The sequence below is a fragment of the Homo sapiens genome, chromosome 12 (genome assembly GCF_000001405.40).
Source record: "Homo sapiens chromosome 12, GRCh38.p14 Primary Assembly".
Classification (NCBI taxonomy): domain Eukaryota; kingdom Metazoa; phylum Chordata; class Mammalia; order Primates; family Hominidae; genus Homo; species Homo sapiens.
In genome coordinates, this window is record NC_000012.12 from 39835442 (window position 1) to 39856502 (window position 21061).

Genomic DNA, 21061 nt, shown 5'->3' on the forward strand with positions numbered 1-21061 from the left:
TTTACATTTATAAGAGAAATGAATATGAAGATATTTACATAAGGACTATGCTTTATAAAAGGAATTGCGGAATGAATTAAATAAAATGGAGTTCTCCTTATTGATACACAGTTTAAATTTCAGGCTAATCCACATTTAGTAAAGCTGATGGAGATGGCCCTCATTGTAACATACAATGCTCTTTACTGACTGGTAAGCAAAATAGATTCTGAGCACCCAAGGGATAAGGCCATGCTTACCAACTCTGTATCTGTAGAACAGCATGCAGCCCCCTGCAGGGTGGATCACCAATATATATTTATTGAATTAACCAATGCACAACAGCTCTAGAAATCAAGGCATTCTTGTAGGTTCATATGCTAGTTTGTACTTGGTTTATGGAAAATAATTTTAGGGGGTAGATGAATTGACGTAAATATATTAGTCATTTTCAGAATGAAATAAAAAGAAGGCAAAACCAATTGTCAAAGGGTATTTTAAGCTGAGCCTGGTTTTTAAATTGCCACGTGGTGAAAGCCACAAATATTTGATTAACACCCAAAATGGAATTGGTTAGTAATTTTGATAACTCACTTTCAGAAAGCAACAACAGCAGCAAGGGCCAGTTTCGTTGAGGCCCACACAGAAAAGCCAGAGAAAGAAAGAGCTCTCTTTGAAATCACAGCCTGCAAAATTTCATAGTAAAAGGACATTACAATATTTAGAGAGTTTGTAGTAAATAAGTGTGCCTGGAATTCAGACTATTTTTCTCAATTGTAGACACCTTTCCCTTGGGGAAATTAGACAATAGCCAATGATGCTCCTCTACTGTGGGATGTGAGTGCTGGGGGAACTGAATGCAGATATATTAGAAACTCAAATAGAGGAAATTAGAGTCCAGGCAAGTACAGTTAGAACCAAATGGTTCTTTTCTTACTAGCTGCAGAGAAGAAATATTTAACTTTTCAATCTCTAGCCTTTCTTTTCAGAAAGGGAGAAAATCGGCATAAGACAGGGATGCCCTCTCTCACCACTCCTATTCAACATAGTGTTGGAAGTTCTGGCCAGGGCAATTAGGCAGGAGAAGGAAATAAAGGGTATTCAATTAGGAAAAGAGGAAGTCAAATTGTCCCTGTTTGCAGACGATATGATTGTATATCTAGAAAACCCCATTGTCTCAGCCCAAAATCTCCTTAAGCTGATAAGCAACTTCAGCAAAGTCTCAGGATACAAAATCAATGTACAAAAATCACAAGCATTCTTATACACCAACAACAGACAAACAGAGAGCCAAATCATGAGTGAACTCCCATTCACAATTGCTTCAAAGAGAATAAAATACCTAGGAATCCAACTTACAAGGGATGTGAAGCACCTCTTCAAGGAGAACTACAAACCACTGCTCAAGGAAATAAAAGAGGATACAAACAAATGGAAGAACATTCCATGCTCATGGGTAGGAAGAATCAATATCGTGAAAATGGCCATACTGCCCAAGGTAATTTACAGATTCAATGCCATCCCCATCAAGCTACCAATGACTTTCTTCACAGAATTGGAAAAAACTACTTTAAAGTTCATATGGAACCAAAAAAGAGCCCGCATCGCCAAGTCAATCCTAAGCCAAAAGAACAAAGCTGGAGGCATCACACTACCTGACTTCAAACTATACTACAAGGCTACAGTAACCAAAACAGCATGGTACTGGTACCAAAACAGAGATATAGATCAATGGAACAGAACAGAGCCCTCAGAAATAATGCCACATACCTACAACTATCTGATCTTTGAGAAAGCTGAGAAAAACAAGCAATGGGGAAAGGATTCCCTATTTAATAAATGGTGCTGGGAAAACTGGCTAGCCATATGTAGGAAGCTGAAACTGGATCCCTTCCTTACACCTTATACAAAAATCAATTCAAGATGGATTAAAGACTTAAACGTTAGACCTAAAACCATAAAAACCCTAGAAGAAAACCTAGGCATTACCATTCAGGACATAGGCATGGGCAAGGACTTCATGTCCAAAACACCAAAAGCAATGGCAACAAAAGACAAAATTGACAAATGGGATCTAATTAAACTAAAGAGCTTCTGCACAGCAAAAGAAACTACCATCAGAGTGAACAGGCAACCTACAAAATGGGAGAAAATTTTCACAACCTACTCATCTGACAAAGGGCTAATATCCAGAATCTACAATGAACTCCAACAAATTTACAAGAAAAAAACAAACAACCCCATCAAAAAGTGGGCGAAGGACATGAACAGACACTTCTCAAAAGAAGACATTTATACAACCAAAAAACACATGAAAAAATGCTCATCATCACTGGCCATCAGAGAAATGCAAATCAAAACCACTCTGAGATACCATCTCACACCAGTTAGAATGGCAATCATTAAAAAGTCAGGAAACAACAGGTGCTGGAGAGGATGTGGAGAAATAGAAACACTTTTACACTGTTGGTGGGACTGTAAACTAGTTCAACCATTGTGGAAGTCAGTGTGGCGATTCCTCAGGGATCTAGAACTAGAAATACCATTTGACCCAGCCATCCCATTACTGGGTATATACCCAAATGACTATAAATCATGCTGCTATAAAGACACATGCACACATATATTTATTGTGGCATTATTCACAATAGCAAAGACTTGGAACCAACCCAAATGTCCAACAATCATAGACTGGATTAAGAAAATGTGGCACATATACACCATGGAATACTACGCAGCCATAAAAAAGGATGAGTTCATGTCCTTTGTAGGGACATGGATGAAATTGGAAATCATCATTCTCAGTAAACTGTCGCAAGATCAAAAAACCAAACACCGCATATTCTCACTCGTAGGTGGGAACTGAACAATGAGATCACATGGACACAGGAAGGGGAATATCACACTCTGGGGACTGTGGTGGGGTGGGGGGAGGGGGGAGGGATAGCATTGGGAGATATACCTAATGCTAGATGACGAGTTAGTGGGTGCAGCGCACCAGCATGGCACATGTATACATATGTAACTAACCTGCACAATGTGCACATGTACCCTAAAACTTAAAGTATAATAAAAAAAAATAAATTAAAAAAAAAAAAAAGAAAGGGAGAAAATCTCTGACTTTTCAGAAAGGGGAAAAGTAAGTATTCATATATTTAGAACAAAACTGGCTCTAAAACCTAAAAATGCTTCCAATTAAAGTAAAAAAGAGCAGGACAAAAGGCTGCTTAGTGTCTAAGGAAGAGAAAGGATGGCCTATTTTCATTCAATCAATCGTTTATATGTTTCACGTGGCACCCAGGGTCTTGGCCAAATGTGCTCTCAGCTCAGAAAATCTTTTAAAAATTGATTTGAGTTAATTTAGAACATTTTTAGTTTCTACTCTGTGAAGCTGGGTGTGAACTCAGCCCTCTGCAAAACGGTCCATTTGTTTTTAAGTATGTCTCATTAAACTCAATGAGATGGAGCACTAAGAACAGTGTTTGATCTTAAAATGCCTGTCTCTAGAATGCCCTAAATTTCAGAAAATCAATGGTGGCAAACACAGATGTAGGAATGATCCATGGCCACAGGTCCAATTTCATTTTCTGCAGGTAATTGTGCTCACTCACTCCTTCTTTATGCATGAATTGACACCTATTTTGTGCAATAATGTCACTCTCTTTCCCCTAACAGCTATTCCCAAACTTCCATACTCTACTATCCCCTTCCTCACTGCTCTCACCAGCTTCAGCAGGTGACTTGGAATCTGGTTTACCAGAGAACACCGCCACTACCAGTCGGGACAGCGACTCCATGCCTTGCTTGGAGCCTCGTGAAGGACAGATTCCTATATCAGTACTGAAAACAACTCTGGAACACCTGCCTTCTTTCCCTGCCAGAGCATAGATGTCGGTTGATTTCCTCTCCCTGTTTAACCATGTAAGTAGGAAACTCATGAGAATAAAAAAAAATCTTAGACACGTGAGTAAATAGTTGGAAACAAGTTTAAAAGGCTAGGGGCCTACTGGTACTAATTTCATGAAGCAAATTATCCTCTCCACTCTATTAAAGCTGCTCTCCCAGAGATTGCTGGTGGTTGTCTCATGGGTAACTCGGAGCACTTTTCCAACATACTATTATCATTTGGTGATAAGATTTTCTAAAAATTTTCCCTCTTTCCTACAATGTTCTCATCCCTTGTGCTGCTTGACACTATTCCCTTTGTTTCTCCCACCTCTCAGATAGTGGCATCTTCATCTTTTCTTTCTCCTTTGCTTCTGTTCTGGGCCATCTACTTTCATTGCTTTGCTGGGAAATATCAACTTTACATGACCATTGCTATAACCAATACACTGAGCCCCCATGACCTCTTTCTTTCCTTTGTTTCTCTTCTCTAAGTGCCAGAACTACACTTCCAATTGCCCAGTTATCTGGATGTTTTCCAAGTGTCTCAAACTCAACAACCTAAAGCTCAATCTTTGGCTTTCTTGCCAAACCTATTGTTCCTTTTGTGTCTCCCAATCTAAAAACCTGAGCATGATTGCAGAACATTCATATTTAAATAGCTACCAGTTCTATCAATTCTATGTCTCAAGCATGTATAGTTCCTGTACTCTCCATTCTTTTTTTTTGTTTTGTTTTGTTTTTGAGACAGAGTCTCACTCTGTCACCCAGGCTGGAGTGCAATGGTGTGATCTTGGCTCACTGCAACCTCCGCCTCCTGGGTTTAAGCGATTTTCCTGCCTCAGCTTCCTGAGTAGCTGGGATTACAGGCACGTGCAACCATGCCTGGCTAATTTTTGTATTATTAGTAGAGTTGGGGTTTCACCATGTTGGCCAGCCACCACGCCCAGCCTTGTACTCTCCATTCTTATCCCAGCCATCTCTCAGCTGGGCTCTTCCAATAGTCTTCTAAAGGGGCCTGCTTCTAGACTCTGTCCACTCCACTCTCTACACTGCCTCAAATCTAACCTGATCAGATTTCTCTGCTTTTTAAATCCTAAAGAGCTTCCCATTGCCTATAGGATGAAAATCATACTCCTTTTATGGCATCATTTAGCCCCTGCCCATCTTGCCTGTCTCTACTTGCCATTTCTCCATAGGTGCCGTGGGTGCTAGCCAGTCCAAAGAGACTGCAGGATTTAGAATATGACATGCTCTCATGCTTTTCCTCATATTGTTTTCTCTGGATGTTACTTTCCACCTTATCTTTCCTATACTTCCTTTGCTTCAAGACTCATGTTCCTCTATGCAACTTCCTGACCCCAGCAGAATCAGAGGCATCACTATACTGTCAGAGTATCACAAAACGCTCATATTATTATCATGCATTCCATGATTTCTTAACAGCTTCATGCTGTGTTTGCTTTCCCTTACTGCATTGTGACCTTCTCAAGACCCTGTACAGCTTTTATTCCTAGAGATTTCCATGTTGCCTGATACATAAGTGCTCAATAAATACCTGTTGAGTAAGTAATGAGATGAATGAATGTCACTTATATTGATAGAAGATTTGGTAGTTCCCTTTCTCTGTAGTTCCATCAGACACCTCGTTCTCCATTTCAGTCCATGAAGATAACAAGATTGAAGCTTGAATCACACCATGAATTGTTCCTTACAATTCACGGCTCTCAGACCAAATCCATACATGACCATCTGGAACTCTGTAAAAGAGTCATATTTCTCACCTCTTCCCCTTACACGTTGAGGCTAAGATTCAACTGACTCCTGAGTTAGATGCAAAAAATTTTATAGTAGTGAGGTCTACTGTTTAAAAGCAACCAGGCTCCTGCCCAGATTGAGCATTTGGCTCTAGCACTGTTAAAGGCAGCAATTTAGCCTAGTAGCCAGAATGGTTTTTCTTTGCTTTTGCGATTTAACATATATTGGTATTTTAGGCCGGAATTTCTAGCAACTGATTGTCTAATCCTTTTAATGAATTATTGGGTTGGTTCTTGCATTTCATCTGAACAAAATGCACCAATGAACTCTCTAATGGAGAAGGAAGAAAAAGAGAGCTGTATTTGCCAAATCTGTCAACTCCAGTGGGGGTTAAGTGTTTTTCTGTTACACTGAATGAATGTTTGATCAACATAGTTAAAAACCTCAATTGTAATTTTGCATGTGTAAGATAACATGTATATAAATGTATATCTATATACATATACATATGTGTATATAGGTAAATAAATGTGTGCATAATATATATACATACATGTATAAATAACTTTTTCAGTCTTGATACTTTTCAGAGTAAAATCAGATTTGCATATAATTTGTATATAATCAACACATACAAATATAATCTAATTAGTGTGCAACATGCTTTTTTCAGAGAAAAAAACAGTAACTAATCTTCTCTGGTGACAATATACATTATTCATTATTGAAGAGACAGAATAGAAAAATTAGAAGGAATACTTAAGAGACTGAAATTCTTAGGTTTGCAAACAGACCAAGTAAGTCGACTAGTATTTGTAGCTATGAAGATTTTTGAGGGTGAATTTTATCATGAGCCTTATTGTGCTAATATCACAGACAGTTTACCATGCAAAGAGGCTATACTAAATAATTACATGTTCTCATTTAATTCTTACATTGGCATCATGAGGGAGGCTTTTTATTTCCCTTTTTACAGAAAAACCTCAGATTTACAGAGGTTCAACTACCTAAGCAAGGTCACATAACTGAAATGTGGCAGAGCTGGGGTTCCAACCTAAGGATGTTGACTTCCAATGTTCAGATTTTTACAGGAAGTTTATTTAAAGGAAAGCAGGCTGAACAATATAAAGAAAATAAGCTAAAACTAAAAGTAGAAGACCAGATTAGAAATACAGAAAGTACTTTAACATATATTGTACCATCTGGTCTTTTCCGGTATCCTGGTGAAGTATGCAGGAGCATTCCTGTTTCACAGATGAAGAAAACAAAGCTTGGAAAGCTAAGAGACTTGCTCATGTCTCTAATAAAGGTTCTCTGACTTCAAATCAGATATTTTTTCTACTCAGCCTTTAGTTTGTTGAAATGTAAAGTTATGCCATTGAGAAAACTGATCAGCATAGTGACTAACATGTGACACTCTGATAGATTTGGAAACTTGTATTGTCTTGTGAAGATACAGTAGGAGGCAATGGTTACACTCCCCAGTAAAATGGAGGCAGAAAGTTCTACGTGGAAAAGTGGTGATCACTCACTATAGCACATATTTTTAAAAATTTTTTACTGAGATAAAATTCATATAAAATTTACCATTTTAACAATGTTAAAGCTTGCAGTTTAGTAAATTTCAATAATTCAGAGTTCTACAAGCATCACCACTATCCAATTCCGGAACATTTTCATTGCTCAAGAATAAATCCTTTACTTCCCAATTCCCACTTTTCATCACCCCCTGGCAACCACGAATCTACTCTTTGTCTCTATGGATTTGCTATTCTGGACATTTTATATCAATGTAATTATACAATGTGCTCTGTTGTTTCTGGCCTCTTTCACCCAGCATGTTTTTGTGGTTCAGCCATATTATAGCATTTGTCAGTAGTTCATGTTTTTTACAGTTATACAATATTCCACTGTAGGATATATCACACTTCATGTATCTATTTGTCAGCTGATGGGGTATTTGGGTTATTTCTACGTTTTTTCGCTGTTTTATAAAAAAAACTGTTGCTATGAACATTTGTGTAGAAGATTTTGAGTAGATACGTGCTTTCAGTTCTCTTGGGTATATGCCCAAGGGTGGAATTGCTGGGTCATATAACTATACATATGATATTTATATTAACTTTCTGAAAAACTGACAGACTCGTTTGTGCACACTTTTTCGTACTTGATCTTTGACCAATGATACTGGTACAGAATGAGTCAGGTTTTCCAAATCAGTGCTAGAAATTGTTAATTGAAGAATTTTATCATTTTTAATGGGCATCACCAAAGGAGAAGATGTTTTCTAAGACAAGCCTATCTGTCATTAATACTTCTTACAGTAGTGATCCAGCCAGCAGAATGAAAATTTTATATGGCCTTTTGCAGAAAGAATAATAGGGAATCTTGGCCCCAAATAAATCAGCAAATACATTGTGAAAGATATAAATAATGTTCACCAATATCTACTTGCCCTCCATTTCAAGGTAGATAGAGAATTATAATACAATTCCTTATATGAAGTTAGGGGTAGCCAAGTGACTAGATGTGGCCATACAATGAGAGTATGAAATAATAGTTGTAGGCCAAAGCATTTATTGCTAGTGCTCAACTCTCCAGCTCTATGCTTCACCTCTGTGATAAATCTTGAAGCCTTGAAGTGAGAGGTGGCATCCCAGAATGGTGGAGGCTCTATTACTTTGGATATCTGAGATATAAGCAGAGTTGTTTGTTGCTTTAAACCACAAAGATTTTGTTATTGTTTTTTAATATTAGTAATGCCTATCCTATCCTGGCTGCTATACCAGCTCAACTTATTTCTATATCATCCTGGTTCTGAGCTATAGTATATGATTACTGGCACATGTCTTAAGTTATCAGTATGCTTTTTTCCCCCCAAAGCATTACAAACTGATCATTATATTGGTGACACACTCCACACGTAGGTCATAGAGCTTTACCAAAAAGGATAAATAAAAATAAGGTAAGAACACAGTTTTGCTTGGGGCTCATCATTACTGTCTGAAAACTCCTTTACATAAGCCTTACTTTCTCTCTTCATATTTGTATAAACATTGATGTGTCCCTAAAAAGCTGTGCAACACACATGCCTCCTTCCAATATAGTTAACTAGTTGTGTTACCTGATAACAGGTGCTGATTTCTAAATAGTACTCCTAACACTAGCTTTTCTACTTATTGAGAACTTTTAAAAATTTCAAGGCATAGGGTAGATAGACAGTCCTTTAACTTCACAGTTTAGGGTCATAGTAACAGCTATGGAGTCAAAGTTTAATGTAAGCACTGCACTGAGGTACATATTCTTTAATTAGAATTGTACTATTTTAAAATGTAACGATAAAGTTCTTATACTAAGAGGCTCATAAATATCCTTCCATACCTAGTAGCATACCCATAAATATTCCCTAATTTTTAGTATAAACTTTTCAGAGTTCGAAAATAAAAGTTCAAAAGCAACTCAGTGTTCTTTTTAGAAAAGAAAGCATTCATAACATATAAAATATAAATAATTAATCAAGAAAGTGAGGTATCTGTGACTAAAGTGTTTTGTATTTAGTATCCATGAAGATCAAACTCATTTAAACACAACTGGATTTATAGTCATACACTCAGCTTTCAATGCTACTTCAAGTGGACTGAAAGAAGCAAGTGGGGTCTCTACTCAACTCAGTCTGAGCTTTTCATGGATTTTGGAAATTATATTCTTCCCTCATCTGACAAATTAAAATAAAGATAAAGAAATACCTAAAGAAAGAAAAATTTACTTAGTTTCTTAAGTAGTTAATTTTTGCTTGAAATATTACAAGGATTCTGTCTCCAACAGAATACGCTTTAGAAATACTCATTTTTAGATCAATTGAATTTAAGAGACTATGCAGTTTTTAATATGGACTAATGGAAATTCATGACTTTTAAAATAAAAAGAAAAATTAAAGTGACCACTTGATAAAGTTAAAAATAATTTATAAGTTATAAATTTAGAAATAAGAACTTTTATCCAAAACTAATTACTTTTTACTGTTTGGGGTATCACAACTTGAAATTTGAATATCTAGTATCTGCATTCTTTGTGATGGGCAGTCACGTTGCCTTTAATATATTTTCTTTATGTTGATATAAAATATAGGTTAGGTTATTTTAAAGTGAGCACTCTATATTTTTTCTGCATCTGAGGAAATACTTCTTAAAATTGACTCTCTTTTTGGGACCCATTTGTGCTATTTTGCTTCAGTAATTAATGATTCTGTATCTGTTACCCAAGTATCTTCCTATGCACCAAGAAAGAACCTTGGTAACCAAATCTGTTTTACATTTTTTGTCAAACACTATAACACTTGGCATTAGGCTTATCATATTATAAGTGTTTCAAACAGGGACAACATAATCAAAGGAAGAAACACATTTTAACTTACAGTGCTTTCCTTCTCAGTTCTTGCATAGTTGGTTAGAAGGTTTTCTGATTTTCATGAAAAACTATATGTGTGAATGTGGAGGACAAAGTGAGTTTTTACTGAAGGGTGAAAGAAACAATCAGCCCCTGGAGCCCCAGAATGACATTTGGTTGGAAGTTGTGTTGTGTGACACAGACGAAATGAGATAGCTTGAAGGCATCCCCCTAGATAGCATCATGTCCTCTGATGCCAGCAACTCTGTGTAATCATTTGCTCTCACAACTAGACCCTACTGTACTGACAAAATTTCATAAAATTAAATCAAGGTGAATGAAACCAATAGGAATTAGGGAAGTGGTGTTGGGGTGGGTCAAAATACCAATGTTAGCACACAGTGGTCCTTTTCTTCAAGGAAAATTCAGGTTCACATGGATAATTCATCTCACTAACTAAAGGAGGAGGCTTAGAAAAGAACAGCTTTCAAAATGGACTTCATTTTCTCATATGATTGTACAGATATACTCCAATTTGCCTAAAGGGTATTACTTTGTAAGTGCTCATCTGTATTTGCTTCTTGTCTTCAATGATTTTTCTCATGTTCATCTACCTGTGTAACAGAGGCCTTAAAAACAATTGCCCAAACAAAACAAAATAAAATCAACAATTCATCTTAGAATATTCAACTATGCTCACATTCAGAACCATATAGATAAGATCATTGTTCTGCTCTAGAAAAACCAAGGTGGTGAATACTTTAAAGTATATCAACATAGGTATTTTATAGGTATTATTCACCTTTGACCATAAGGAATTACTGTCCACTCCCAAAGGGTACATTACACCCTCCCTTGGACAATAGGAGCATCACATTTTAATTGGTAAATTTCAAAATGAAGAGGGTAGTGGTTAAGGGCTGAATTCTAGAGAAAGATCTTTCTCAGTTAAAGCATGGTTCTGCTGTCCGCTAAACCATATGATCTTCTAAAATTCACTTAACTTCTTCATTTTTATTTTTAGACAGCATCTCACTCTGTCACCCAGGGTGGGTGCAGTGGTGCAATCTCAGGTTACTTCAACTTCTGCCTTCCAGGCTCAAGTGTTCCTCCTGCCTCAGCCTCCTGAGTAGCTGAGTCTACAGGCACATACCAACATGTGTGGCTAATTTTTTGTATTTTTGGAGAAATGGGATTTTGCCACGTTGCCCAGGCTGCTCTTGAACTCCTAGGCTCAAAAGATCCACTGGCCTCGGCCTCCTAAAATGCTGGGATTATAGGCATGAGCCACAATGCCCAGCCTCACTTAATTTGTTTAAGCCTCAGTGTCACTGGTAAAATGGGGAAAATAATAGCATCTATCTCAGTCTTTCTGAAGGATAAAAGAGAATCCATGCAAAGCTCTTAGTAAAGTGATCCACACAATGTTAACTATATAATAAATGGCAGATACTGTGACCATTCTTTTTGAAAAGATAAGGAAATCACTCATTTGTTCAGATCACTCATTTTGAACAAACACAACAAAAGGTAGCTGTTTCACTGGTTTCAAAGGCCAAGGAAACAGGACAAATGAAAGAGATATTAATGATTCCTTTTACTTTGCAAAGCTAGAGTTAAATATTTAAGACAACCACATTTCTTGTCACCTGCAAAGTTGACTTTAGACTTCTAATGAGCACAGAGAGAACTAAATCGTGAAAGTAGGTGAATCCCTATTTGGTCCATTGATTTGTACTTCCTGCTGTCAAGCAGAACCACTCATAAATGTCTCATAAAATTAACATATCCCCTAGCTGTACTGTTGTAGCAAAGATTGCTAGTGGCCTATCCCTACATTCATTCTTCCCTCCTCCTTTTTAAGAGAAATGTGATTCCTAACTGGGCACATTGTGGCTCCACCTCCCTCCTCCCGACTGCTAGACAAAAGAATACATTTCCCAGTTCACATTACAACTAGATATGGCCAAGGGATTAATTCTGTCCAATGAGAAGTATTGCATGGGATTTCAGGAAGACTTCAAAGGGAGCTGATTCAGCTGGGAAGAGCTGCTCTTTCTGCCTTTCCTTCTGGCTTGCTTCACAGGAATGCTATGCTGGTAGAACTCCTGCAGCCACCCTGGCCCATGTGGTGAACTTATGAAAGACATTTGTATGGGTACAGTAAAAGGATAGGAGCCTGGATGCCTGATGATACTAGATGTAGCACATTGGTCCCCAACTCCTTACCCTTGAGTTTATTTCACATGACAGAGAGAGAGAAAGACTTCTTCCTTGCTTAAGCCACTGTTATTTTGGGTTCTTCTGTAATATACAGCCTACCATGATTCCAAGTGGTACAAGTATTTTTTTCAAATGCTTAAAAAATATTTTGGCTTATTTTTGAATATATTCTGAAAAAGCAAGTCTACCCAAGTCTCCAACATCTCTCTAAATATATACTTGTGTACGGGTTCAAAATGTAAATAAAAACCTAAGATATTTCCTACTTCTGATGAGAGGCTATATCTCATGCTTTGTTTCCTTAACACCTGGCACAAATGCAGTACCTGGTGCATGGTTAGCATTCAGTAATGTGTGCCAAATGAAAGAATGAAAAGTGGGAAAGTCAAAGCTCTGAAAACCCTGGAAGACAACCTAGGCAATACCATCCTGGACCTAAGAACAGGTAAAGATTTCATGACAAAGATACCAAAACCAATTGCAACAAAAACAAAAATTGACAAGTGGGATCTAATTAAACCTAAAAGCTTGCACACAGCAAAAGAAACTATCAACAGAGTAAACAGACAACCTACAGAATGTGAAAAAACATTTACAAACTATGCATCTGACAAAGGTCTAATATCCAGCATTTATAAGGAACTTAGCAAATTTACAAAAGAAAAACAACCCCATTAAAAAGTGGACAAAGGACATGAACAGACACCTCTCAAAAGATGACATACGTGCAGCCAAGGAGCATATGAAAAAAATTCCATATCACTAATCATTAGAGAAATGCAAATCAAAACCACAATGAGAAACCATCTCACACCAGTCAGAATGGCTATTATTAAAAAGTTAAAAAATAACAGATGCTGGTGAGGTTGTGGAGAAAAGGGAATGCTAATATACTGTTGGTAGGAGTGTAAACTAATTCACCCATTGTGGAAAGCAGTATGGCAATTCCTCAAAGAGCTAAAAGCAGAACTACCATTTGACCCAGCTCCCATTTCTAGGTATATATGCAGAGGAATGTAAAGCATTCTACCATAAAGACACATGCATGGGAATGTTCATTGTACCACTATCCACAATAGCAAAGACATGGACTCAACATAAATGCCCTTCAATGAAAGACTGGATAAAGAAAATGTGGTACATATACACCAGGGAATATTATGCATCCATAAAAAAGGACGAGATCACATCTTTTGCAGGAACATGGATGGAGCTGGAGGCTATCATCCTTAGCAAACTAACACAGGAACAGAAAACCAAATACCACATGGTCTCACTTATAAGTGGGAGCTAAATGATAAGAACTTATGAACACAAAGAAGGAAACAACAGACACTGGGGTCTACTTGAGCAGGGAGGGTGGGAGGAGGGAGAGGAACAAAAAAGATAACTATTGGGTACTGAGCTTAATACCTGGGAGATGTAATAATATGTACAACAAGCCCCTGTGACATGTTTGTCTATATAACAAACCTTCACATGTACCACAAAACCTAAAATAAAGATTTAAAAAAAAATTCAAAAAAAGAAAAACAAGTGGGAAAGAGTCCCTAACAGTATCTGTATATATATGATTGCAAATTGGTAATGCTGATTCTCCCAGTGACTCAATGTGCATTGGTGAATGCAGCATTTAGCGAGCACACTGGTTCCTCCAAGTTACTTGGACAGCATGAAAGGTGACCTAAAAGTCTCAGAGTTAATGCTTCATCCCATTAATCTCACCCACTGAAGAATGGCTGACCCCTGCCTCTTATTTGTGAGACAGAAGCTCAGTAATGTCAAGGATGATGACTTTTCTAGCTTGTCAAGGTTGTTTTGCTTTGTGAGGCTGTTTATTGAGGTGCTCATGACTGCCTCTATCTTAACTCAGTGCTTCTCTGACTGAGGTGGTAAATTGTTCCTTTGTGACTCTTCCTTATAGAGTAACTGAGCAGTTAAGCTTCTTTGTTTAGTGCTACAATTTCTGTTGCTCCAATTTCTCTCTGACAGGATAATTACCAAGTTTGTCTCTCTTGGAATCTCATAGATTCATGTTTATTTGAGTTTCATTTATGTGTAGATTTCTTAGCCTTTTCTAGTATTTGTTCAATTTGTTGTCTCTGTCTTTTAAGGCTTTAATATTTCAAGGTCATAAAAATCCTACCTTACTTTTTGCATTATATGGCTACTCCCTTCTTTTTTTTCTGGTGAGATTTCAAAGCTCTGTTGTTGTTTTTTAAAATACTCTTTCAGGGTAATATTGTTTCTTCTTCTGTTTTTGTTATTAGTGTATATAATTTTACTTTAATCCTATGGTTTAAAATCTATGGATTCTGTGTCTTTCCTCATTTTTCTTGAAAAGGCAACTCAAATTGTAGTTAAGCTCTCTCTTTCTTCTGCACACATGCTATCCCTCTTTCTGCAATGTCATGTTCCCTGCTTTGGCCTGCTTGACTCCAACCAACTCCTTTCTCCTCAGCCTTGGGAAGCCTTCCACAATAATAAAGGAGTCAGTGGATTTGTCCATAAGTAGCTACTGGAACCGAAAAGGAGTTAGTACTTTAATGCATAATTAGATGAGTGAGTTTTAAAAATTATGAGTTTTTCTATTGTATTGATATATTTTTCAACAATCTAGGTATTAAGTAAAATAAGGCAGCCTCCGGATATTAAAAAGATAAATATAAAGAAAGTATAGCATTAACTCCTCTTGTAATTGCTCTGCAGTTGAACTGAGCCATGGCACTCATTGTTAGTTTGCATAAGAAAAGAAGATCACTTTAGTATACACTGAAATTCCAGCTATAACAAGCAATAATACTAACTTAGGATGCTTAGGTTTCTGAATTTTACTCTAGTCATATATAGCAAGCCAAAACATACACACTTAAGTTATATGAACATGAAAATAAAGTTAACAATAATTGTATCTGTGCCAACATTAGTATACGGTAATTGCCAAAAATTTACACATTCATTTATTGATATTTACTTATGTGTTTAGCTATAGCACAACACATAATTGTAAAACATATATGAATAAGGATGATAATATATTCTTGCCAAATTTGATTACACAGGCCAAGATTTGTTGTTTTAGGAAGTGAATAACTATATTCAATTTCAAATGTTTATTATATCACACGGAATTTTTGTGAAGATATCTATCGCCATAATAATGTATCCATTTTACAATGATAAAAATGAAATATCAGGAAGAGCTGAATATTTAGGCCCCACAAAGTTAATTTTTTTTTTTTTTTGAGATGGAGTCTTGCTTTGTTGCCTAGGCTGCAGTGCAGTGGTGCGATTTCAGCTCACTGCAACCTCTACCTCCTGGGTTCAAGCAATTCTCTTGCCTCAGCCTCCTGAGTAGCTGGGATTACAGGTGTGCGCCACCACATCCAGCTAATTTTTGTATCTTTAGTAGAGATGGGGTTTCACTATGTTGGCCAGGCTGGTCTCGAACTCCCGACCTCAGATGATCCACCTGCCTTGGCCTCACAAAGTGCTGAGATTACAGGCATGAGTCACCGTGTCCAGCCAAAGTTAAATGTTTATAGAAACACTAATCAGTTAAAATAAATATTTCATTTGTTTCCAAAATGGACAAATTAGAAAAACGCTACTCAGTTCTTCTTATGAAATAACTTTTCTGTTTGTGAAGACTAATGAGAATGGATTTATGACATAAAAATCATATTAGGCTGAAGAAAAACAAAAGGAAGAATGAGAATTAAAAAATGCATTCTGACTCTTAACTGACAATAACTTTATATATTGATAATTATTAAAAATGAGCAGTGCACTTTTTTTAGTGTAAAGGTTAGTGATTTTATTAATCTATAAGCAAGATGGCCCTAATGTACAACACCATTTCAAAAATGTTTGGTCTAGGCTAAAATTACTGAAGGAGCAACATTATCATCCATGCTAAATGCCAAGGAGTAATAGGTTTCTACAGTAACTGTGAAATATGCAATTCAGATACACACATAGGAAAACACCAATTATGCTAGATACATCAAGAGAAAAGCAGCGGAATGAAGGATGGATTTGTATTATCAGCTGCTTAGCAATATGGAATATTTAAGACATGCTGAGCTTTGAGTCATTGATCACTGCAAATTAAGTACTCCTACATGGTTTAAAAATAAGTTTTCAAAATTTATTTTCCATCTATTTCCCTGTGTCAAGAATTTTTAAAAATGAGATTATTTTCCCTTGTGCTAAAATATAAATAATAGGCAATTGTGTGTATTTCTTTTGTACAAACTGAAACTTCTCTGAGGATGGGAACAATGTCTTATATATCTTTTATACCCTATCATCACAGAACAATGCAATGTTGGAAAATGTTATGGAATCATTTTCAGTTGCAGGGGATTTGTGGTTTAGAAAGGACTAAAACACAGGTGTGTGTGAGGCTGGGTAAGGTTAAGATGCATAAAGTGATTTCTAATTATCTAATACTGCTTGTTATGAGGTTTGTATAAAATAACTAGCATGGTAAATAACAGCATCTTGATCAGACATCCAGTCACATGAATCCGTGTTTTCAAACTGAGTCCATAAGGGAGAAATAAAGATGGACCCGTCTCTGGTATTGTTCTGAGAAATGCTGGTCAGATTTCCCTTTATGGGCCTAAAGTTGTCTAAACACTGCCACACAAATTATGACTGTAATCAGTTGTAAGACTAAAATCCACATGTACTTTCTACAGTGTAACAAATGTAAAGTGCTTACAAAATTCCTGTGACAAATCTGTCAAGAAATTACTGGTTTGCTTAGTGTTTTAGCATTGCTTAGAGAATAAAGAGGACTTGTTCATTGATCATGACTCACAGAAGATAACAAACCTGTGGCTGCCCATTGCTAGTACCAATCATTTTTTCTTGGAAGGTAACAAAAGGTTAGAATATCTAGGTGAAGAAGAAGAATAGGGTCTGGAGGCAGGGAACCTAAGGCTGATTCATGCTGACTTCTAGAACTAAATCAAAAGGAAAACCCCAACTTTCCACGCTCAAGGAACAAAAGGATCAGAGGCTACTCCCTTTGTAACCTCCACCCTTTCTGCATTGCAGATGAAAAATGGAAAGTACCTCTGATTGGTCCTCTCCTGAAACCAATCAGATTGGTTGTGACCTCGTCTTCATTTGCATAGCGGTATAACTTTGTAACATCAGCCTCTGATTGGTAGCCTTCCGAGACGAATTAGACTGGTTGTGGGCCACTCCTTCATTCACATAGGGTGTAAACTAAATAGCCAATGGGAAACCTCTAGAGAGTATTTAAACCCAGAAAATTCTGTAACCAATGCTCTTGAGTCGCTTGCTTGAGTCTGCTCCCATTCTGTGGAGTTTACTTTTGTTTCAGTAAATCTGTGCTTTTGTTGTTTCATTCCTTCATTGCTTTGTTTGTATGTTTTGTCCAATTCTTTGCTCAAAACGCCAAGAACCTGGACAACTCATATTCAAGATCCTCCACCAGTAACAAAGCCATTGCCTAGTTACGCTCACAAAGAATGGTGTTGACTTGCAAGCAACTACCTCTGTGTCTTCTTTGCTCTCTGGGTGGGGTTCAGGGCTTGATATCCTTTGTGGAAAATAAAGGCATCTCATCTTACTAGCAGAAGGCTGAACCACTGTGGGTGATCTAAGTGCTGTTTGGCAATACTTTGGAAAGATAACAGTGGTTATGATATACTATCTTTATGACAGATTTCTCAGGGTCCCCAAAATTCTAACACTCTTTAAAAAAAAAATCAAAAATAAGCCTGGGAGAAAAAAAGGGAATTGCTCCTAATTGTGACAAGGTCTTAAAGCAGGGATTTGGAAACCTAGTCCTCTCACTTCTAAGCTGGGCAACATTTTTTTCTCCTTTCTTTTCTTTTCTTTCTTTCTTTCTCTTTTTCCTTCCTTTCTTCCTTCCTTCCTTCCTTTTCTTTCTTTCTTTTTTTTTTTGTTAAGTAATTTTCCTAGAAATCTGTAAAAGCTTTAGTCAGACTGCTACAGCCTGGTGTTTCATCAAGCTATCTTCCACTTTGCCAGTATCTGGGTTGCTGAGAAGGTGAAGTGATCAGAAGTAAATTTAAAGAAAATAATCCCATAATCTATATCTGTTTAGGAATCTGTGCAGCAACCCAGAATTTCATTTATGTTACATAAGGAACTTTGGCCACTAAATACCTCTGAAAGAGTTTTATGTTAGTTCAATTAAATGGCATGTGTAGTGAGGGTAAAATTTCATTAAAAACTCTTGTTTTAGTGATTTTCATCATTTGGTACTTGATTTTCAGGGCAGTATTTTGTTAAAATAAAATCCTAGTGTTTAAATACCTAGCCCTTCAATATGAGGGGCTTAAAACTCTTCTCTTTGCTTCTTGGGTAACTGATACTTAGCATTTCCTACAATATTCACAGGCTTTGGATAGTATTGACATAAGCAAAAAAAAAAATAAAGGCCATTAGCTTGACTAAGGGAGGCAGGTGGACAGAACAAAATGGCTCTGCAACATACCAGTTACATCACTTTAGGCAAATGATATAATCCGTCTGATCCTTAGTTTTCTTATCTGTAAAATTGGATAATAATAATAATAATAACAGTATCTTCCTCAGGAAAGTTTAAGGGTAATAGGTAATATTCAAAAAGAATATGAATAATACTTGAATATTGTAAGAGCTTAGTTAACAGAAACTATTATTATTTTAAAATAAAAAGCCTGCTTAGAATTATGCCCCCTCCATCCTGCTAGGTATATTGGCTGGGGCCACATAATCGGCACTGAGTATTCATAAAATTGAACTGCCTGCCCAAACGCCTTTTCCCTCATACTTTGCCTTTAACATTTATTTGTAATATTTCCAAAAATAGCTTTGTCTTCATGCTTACCATCATGAGATAATCTCAGACTCTCACAATCTCTCTCTGGGGCTGCCAGACTCTTCTCCCTCCAATCTATATCCCAAAACTCACACAGAAAACTCTTTGTAAAGCTCAGCTTTGATCATGGTACCCTCCTTGCTTGATGCTGTTGACTGGCTTCCCTTCCTCACTCAAGCCTTGACCTAGTATCCAAGGCCTTTCCTCTCCTTCTGCATCATCCTGTGCCTGGTGGCCCTTTCTCCAGCAGTATCAAGCTTTATAATTTTCTTGAAGGGCAAATCTGTTTTCCGCTTTTGCACAGTTCGCTGTCATGCCTGGGTGGCTTCTCCATTTTCATTGGTCTGAGAAACTCCAACTCACCATTGAAAAATCAGATCAAGCTCCCTCCTCTGTGACGGGTCCTTAATATGGGGCCTGTAAACTTGGATGAAAAGAAAATTACATCTCTATTTCATTAACCTTTTACTGAAATTTAGCATTTCCTTCAGTTAGGAAGGTAGGCAGTAAACTACTGGCAACAACAGAAGTCACATATTTTCATATCCCATTAAGGTAGTTGCAGAAATCTCCAAATACCATTTACATTCACTATGGTGTTGAAACTATGGTATTAGACTTGCGGCTATATTTGTTACTTAATGTGTTAATAAAGAAGTACATACATTACTATTTAATAACTTTATTTTTTAAAGTATTCTGGCAACTGTATTTCAATATAATTGATTTGCCTTGTACTTTTATATAACAAGTTTATTTTTAAAAGTATTCTGGCACCTGTATTTCAATATAATTGAGTTGCTTTGTACTTTTATAAAATTTATTTTATGCAGTTAAAGAACACTATAAAAGGATCCAAAATAATGAGAATTTTAAGGACTCTCATGTAGGAAGCCTTCTGTCATGGCCCTGGGGAAATGAATTATGCCAGGTCATGCTCTGATACATCTATCAGCCTTCATTACACTGTTTTGCAATTACGTATCTGCATTTTTCTCCCTCATAGCTGTGAGCTCCATGAGGAGGAAGGCTGTTTTTTTTGTTGTTGTTTGTTTGTTTTTAAATCTCAATACCCCAGCCTACTGCAACTTTCAAAAATGTTTATTAAAATAATTAACTACAAATGTGCATAAATGTTTTTTCTAAAGTACTATATTCTTCGATTTCCTAAGCTGTATAGAACTTACACAATTGCAGACTTTCAGCTACTAAAACCAGGTTGTTCAGGATACATTATTTCATTGTTCTAGTCTTCTAATTTAATCAATATACAATCTGGATGTTACAGTTGAAGAGACATGTGACCTATATTTTTTGGTATTTATTTACTTACTAATATTAGGAAAACACTATCTTATTAGCACCACACAACAATCTAAAAGAGTCACTGAGGGATGGCCTAAACACTATGTGACCTGTTTTATGCCCAGAGACCTGCAGGCTTGAACTGCTGGGTCTACTAGCATGCCCATAGAAGGTATTGCTAATCATGCTGTAGCCATGAGTAGAAGTAAACTTTGAAGAAACAAAGGCTTGGATGCTTCCTAAATCACCAACTCTTGGATAGCAACAAGGTGTTGCCAAATTTTGCCACATATACCTAAGTTCCAGGATGAAAATTATACTAAAAAAACTTCCTTTAGTCAGCACCATCTACCTTCTCTTATCAATAGCAACCCTTCATCCATCTATCCATGCATCCATCCATCCATCCATCCATTCATCCATCCATCCATCCACCCAAACACCCAGCCAATCAAAATCATAGTTTTCCAAGTTACTTTCACTGAAGAGGTTCTTTTAACCTCTTTGCTATGCTTTATTTTATTTATTTTATTTTATTTTTTGAGACGGAGTCTCACTCTGTCGCCAGGCTGGTGTGCAGTGGCGTGATCTCGGCTCACTGTAACCTCTGCCTCCCGGGCTCAAGCGTTTCTCCTGCCTCAGCCTCCCTAGTAGCTG

General features: G+C 36.9%; 2 protein-coding genes across 8 annotated transcripts in view; one reads left to right on the plus strand and one right to left on the minus strand.

The window, feature by feature from the left end:
- Positions 1-21061, plus strand: part of REDIC1 (regulator of DNA class I crossover intermediates 1) — a 282118-nt gene that overhangs the window by 209259 nt on the left and 51798 nt on the right. The gene's annotated exons all lie outside the window — the stretch shown is intronic.
- SLC2A13 (solute carrier family 2 member 13) overlaps positions 1-21061 on the minus strand; it is a 351057-nt gene that overhangs the window by 80417 nt on the left and 249579 nt on the right. Inside the window, exon 7 of one of the 7 annotated variants that reach the window (XM_011537850.4) lies at positions 16023-19523. The exons of the other annotated variants lie outside the window; for them this stretch is intronic. Within the exon in view, the coding sequence (XP_011536152.1) occupies positions 19505-19523 (19 nt within the window). The 3' untranslated portion in view covers positions 16023-19504. Of the gene's footprint in view, positions 1-16022; positions 19524-21061 lie in introns of those variants that run through there. 7 annotated transcript variants of the gene reach the window in all.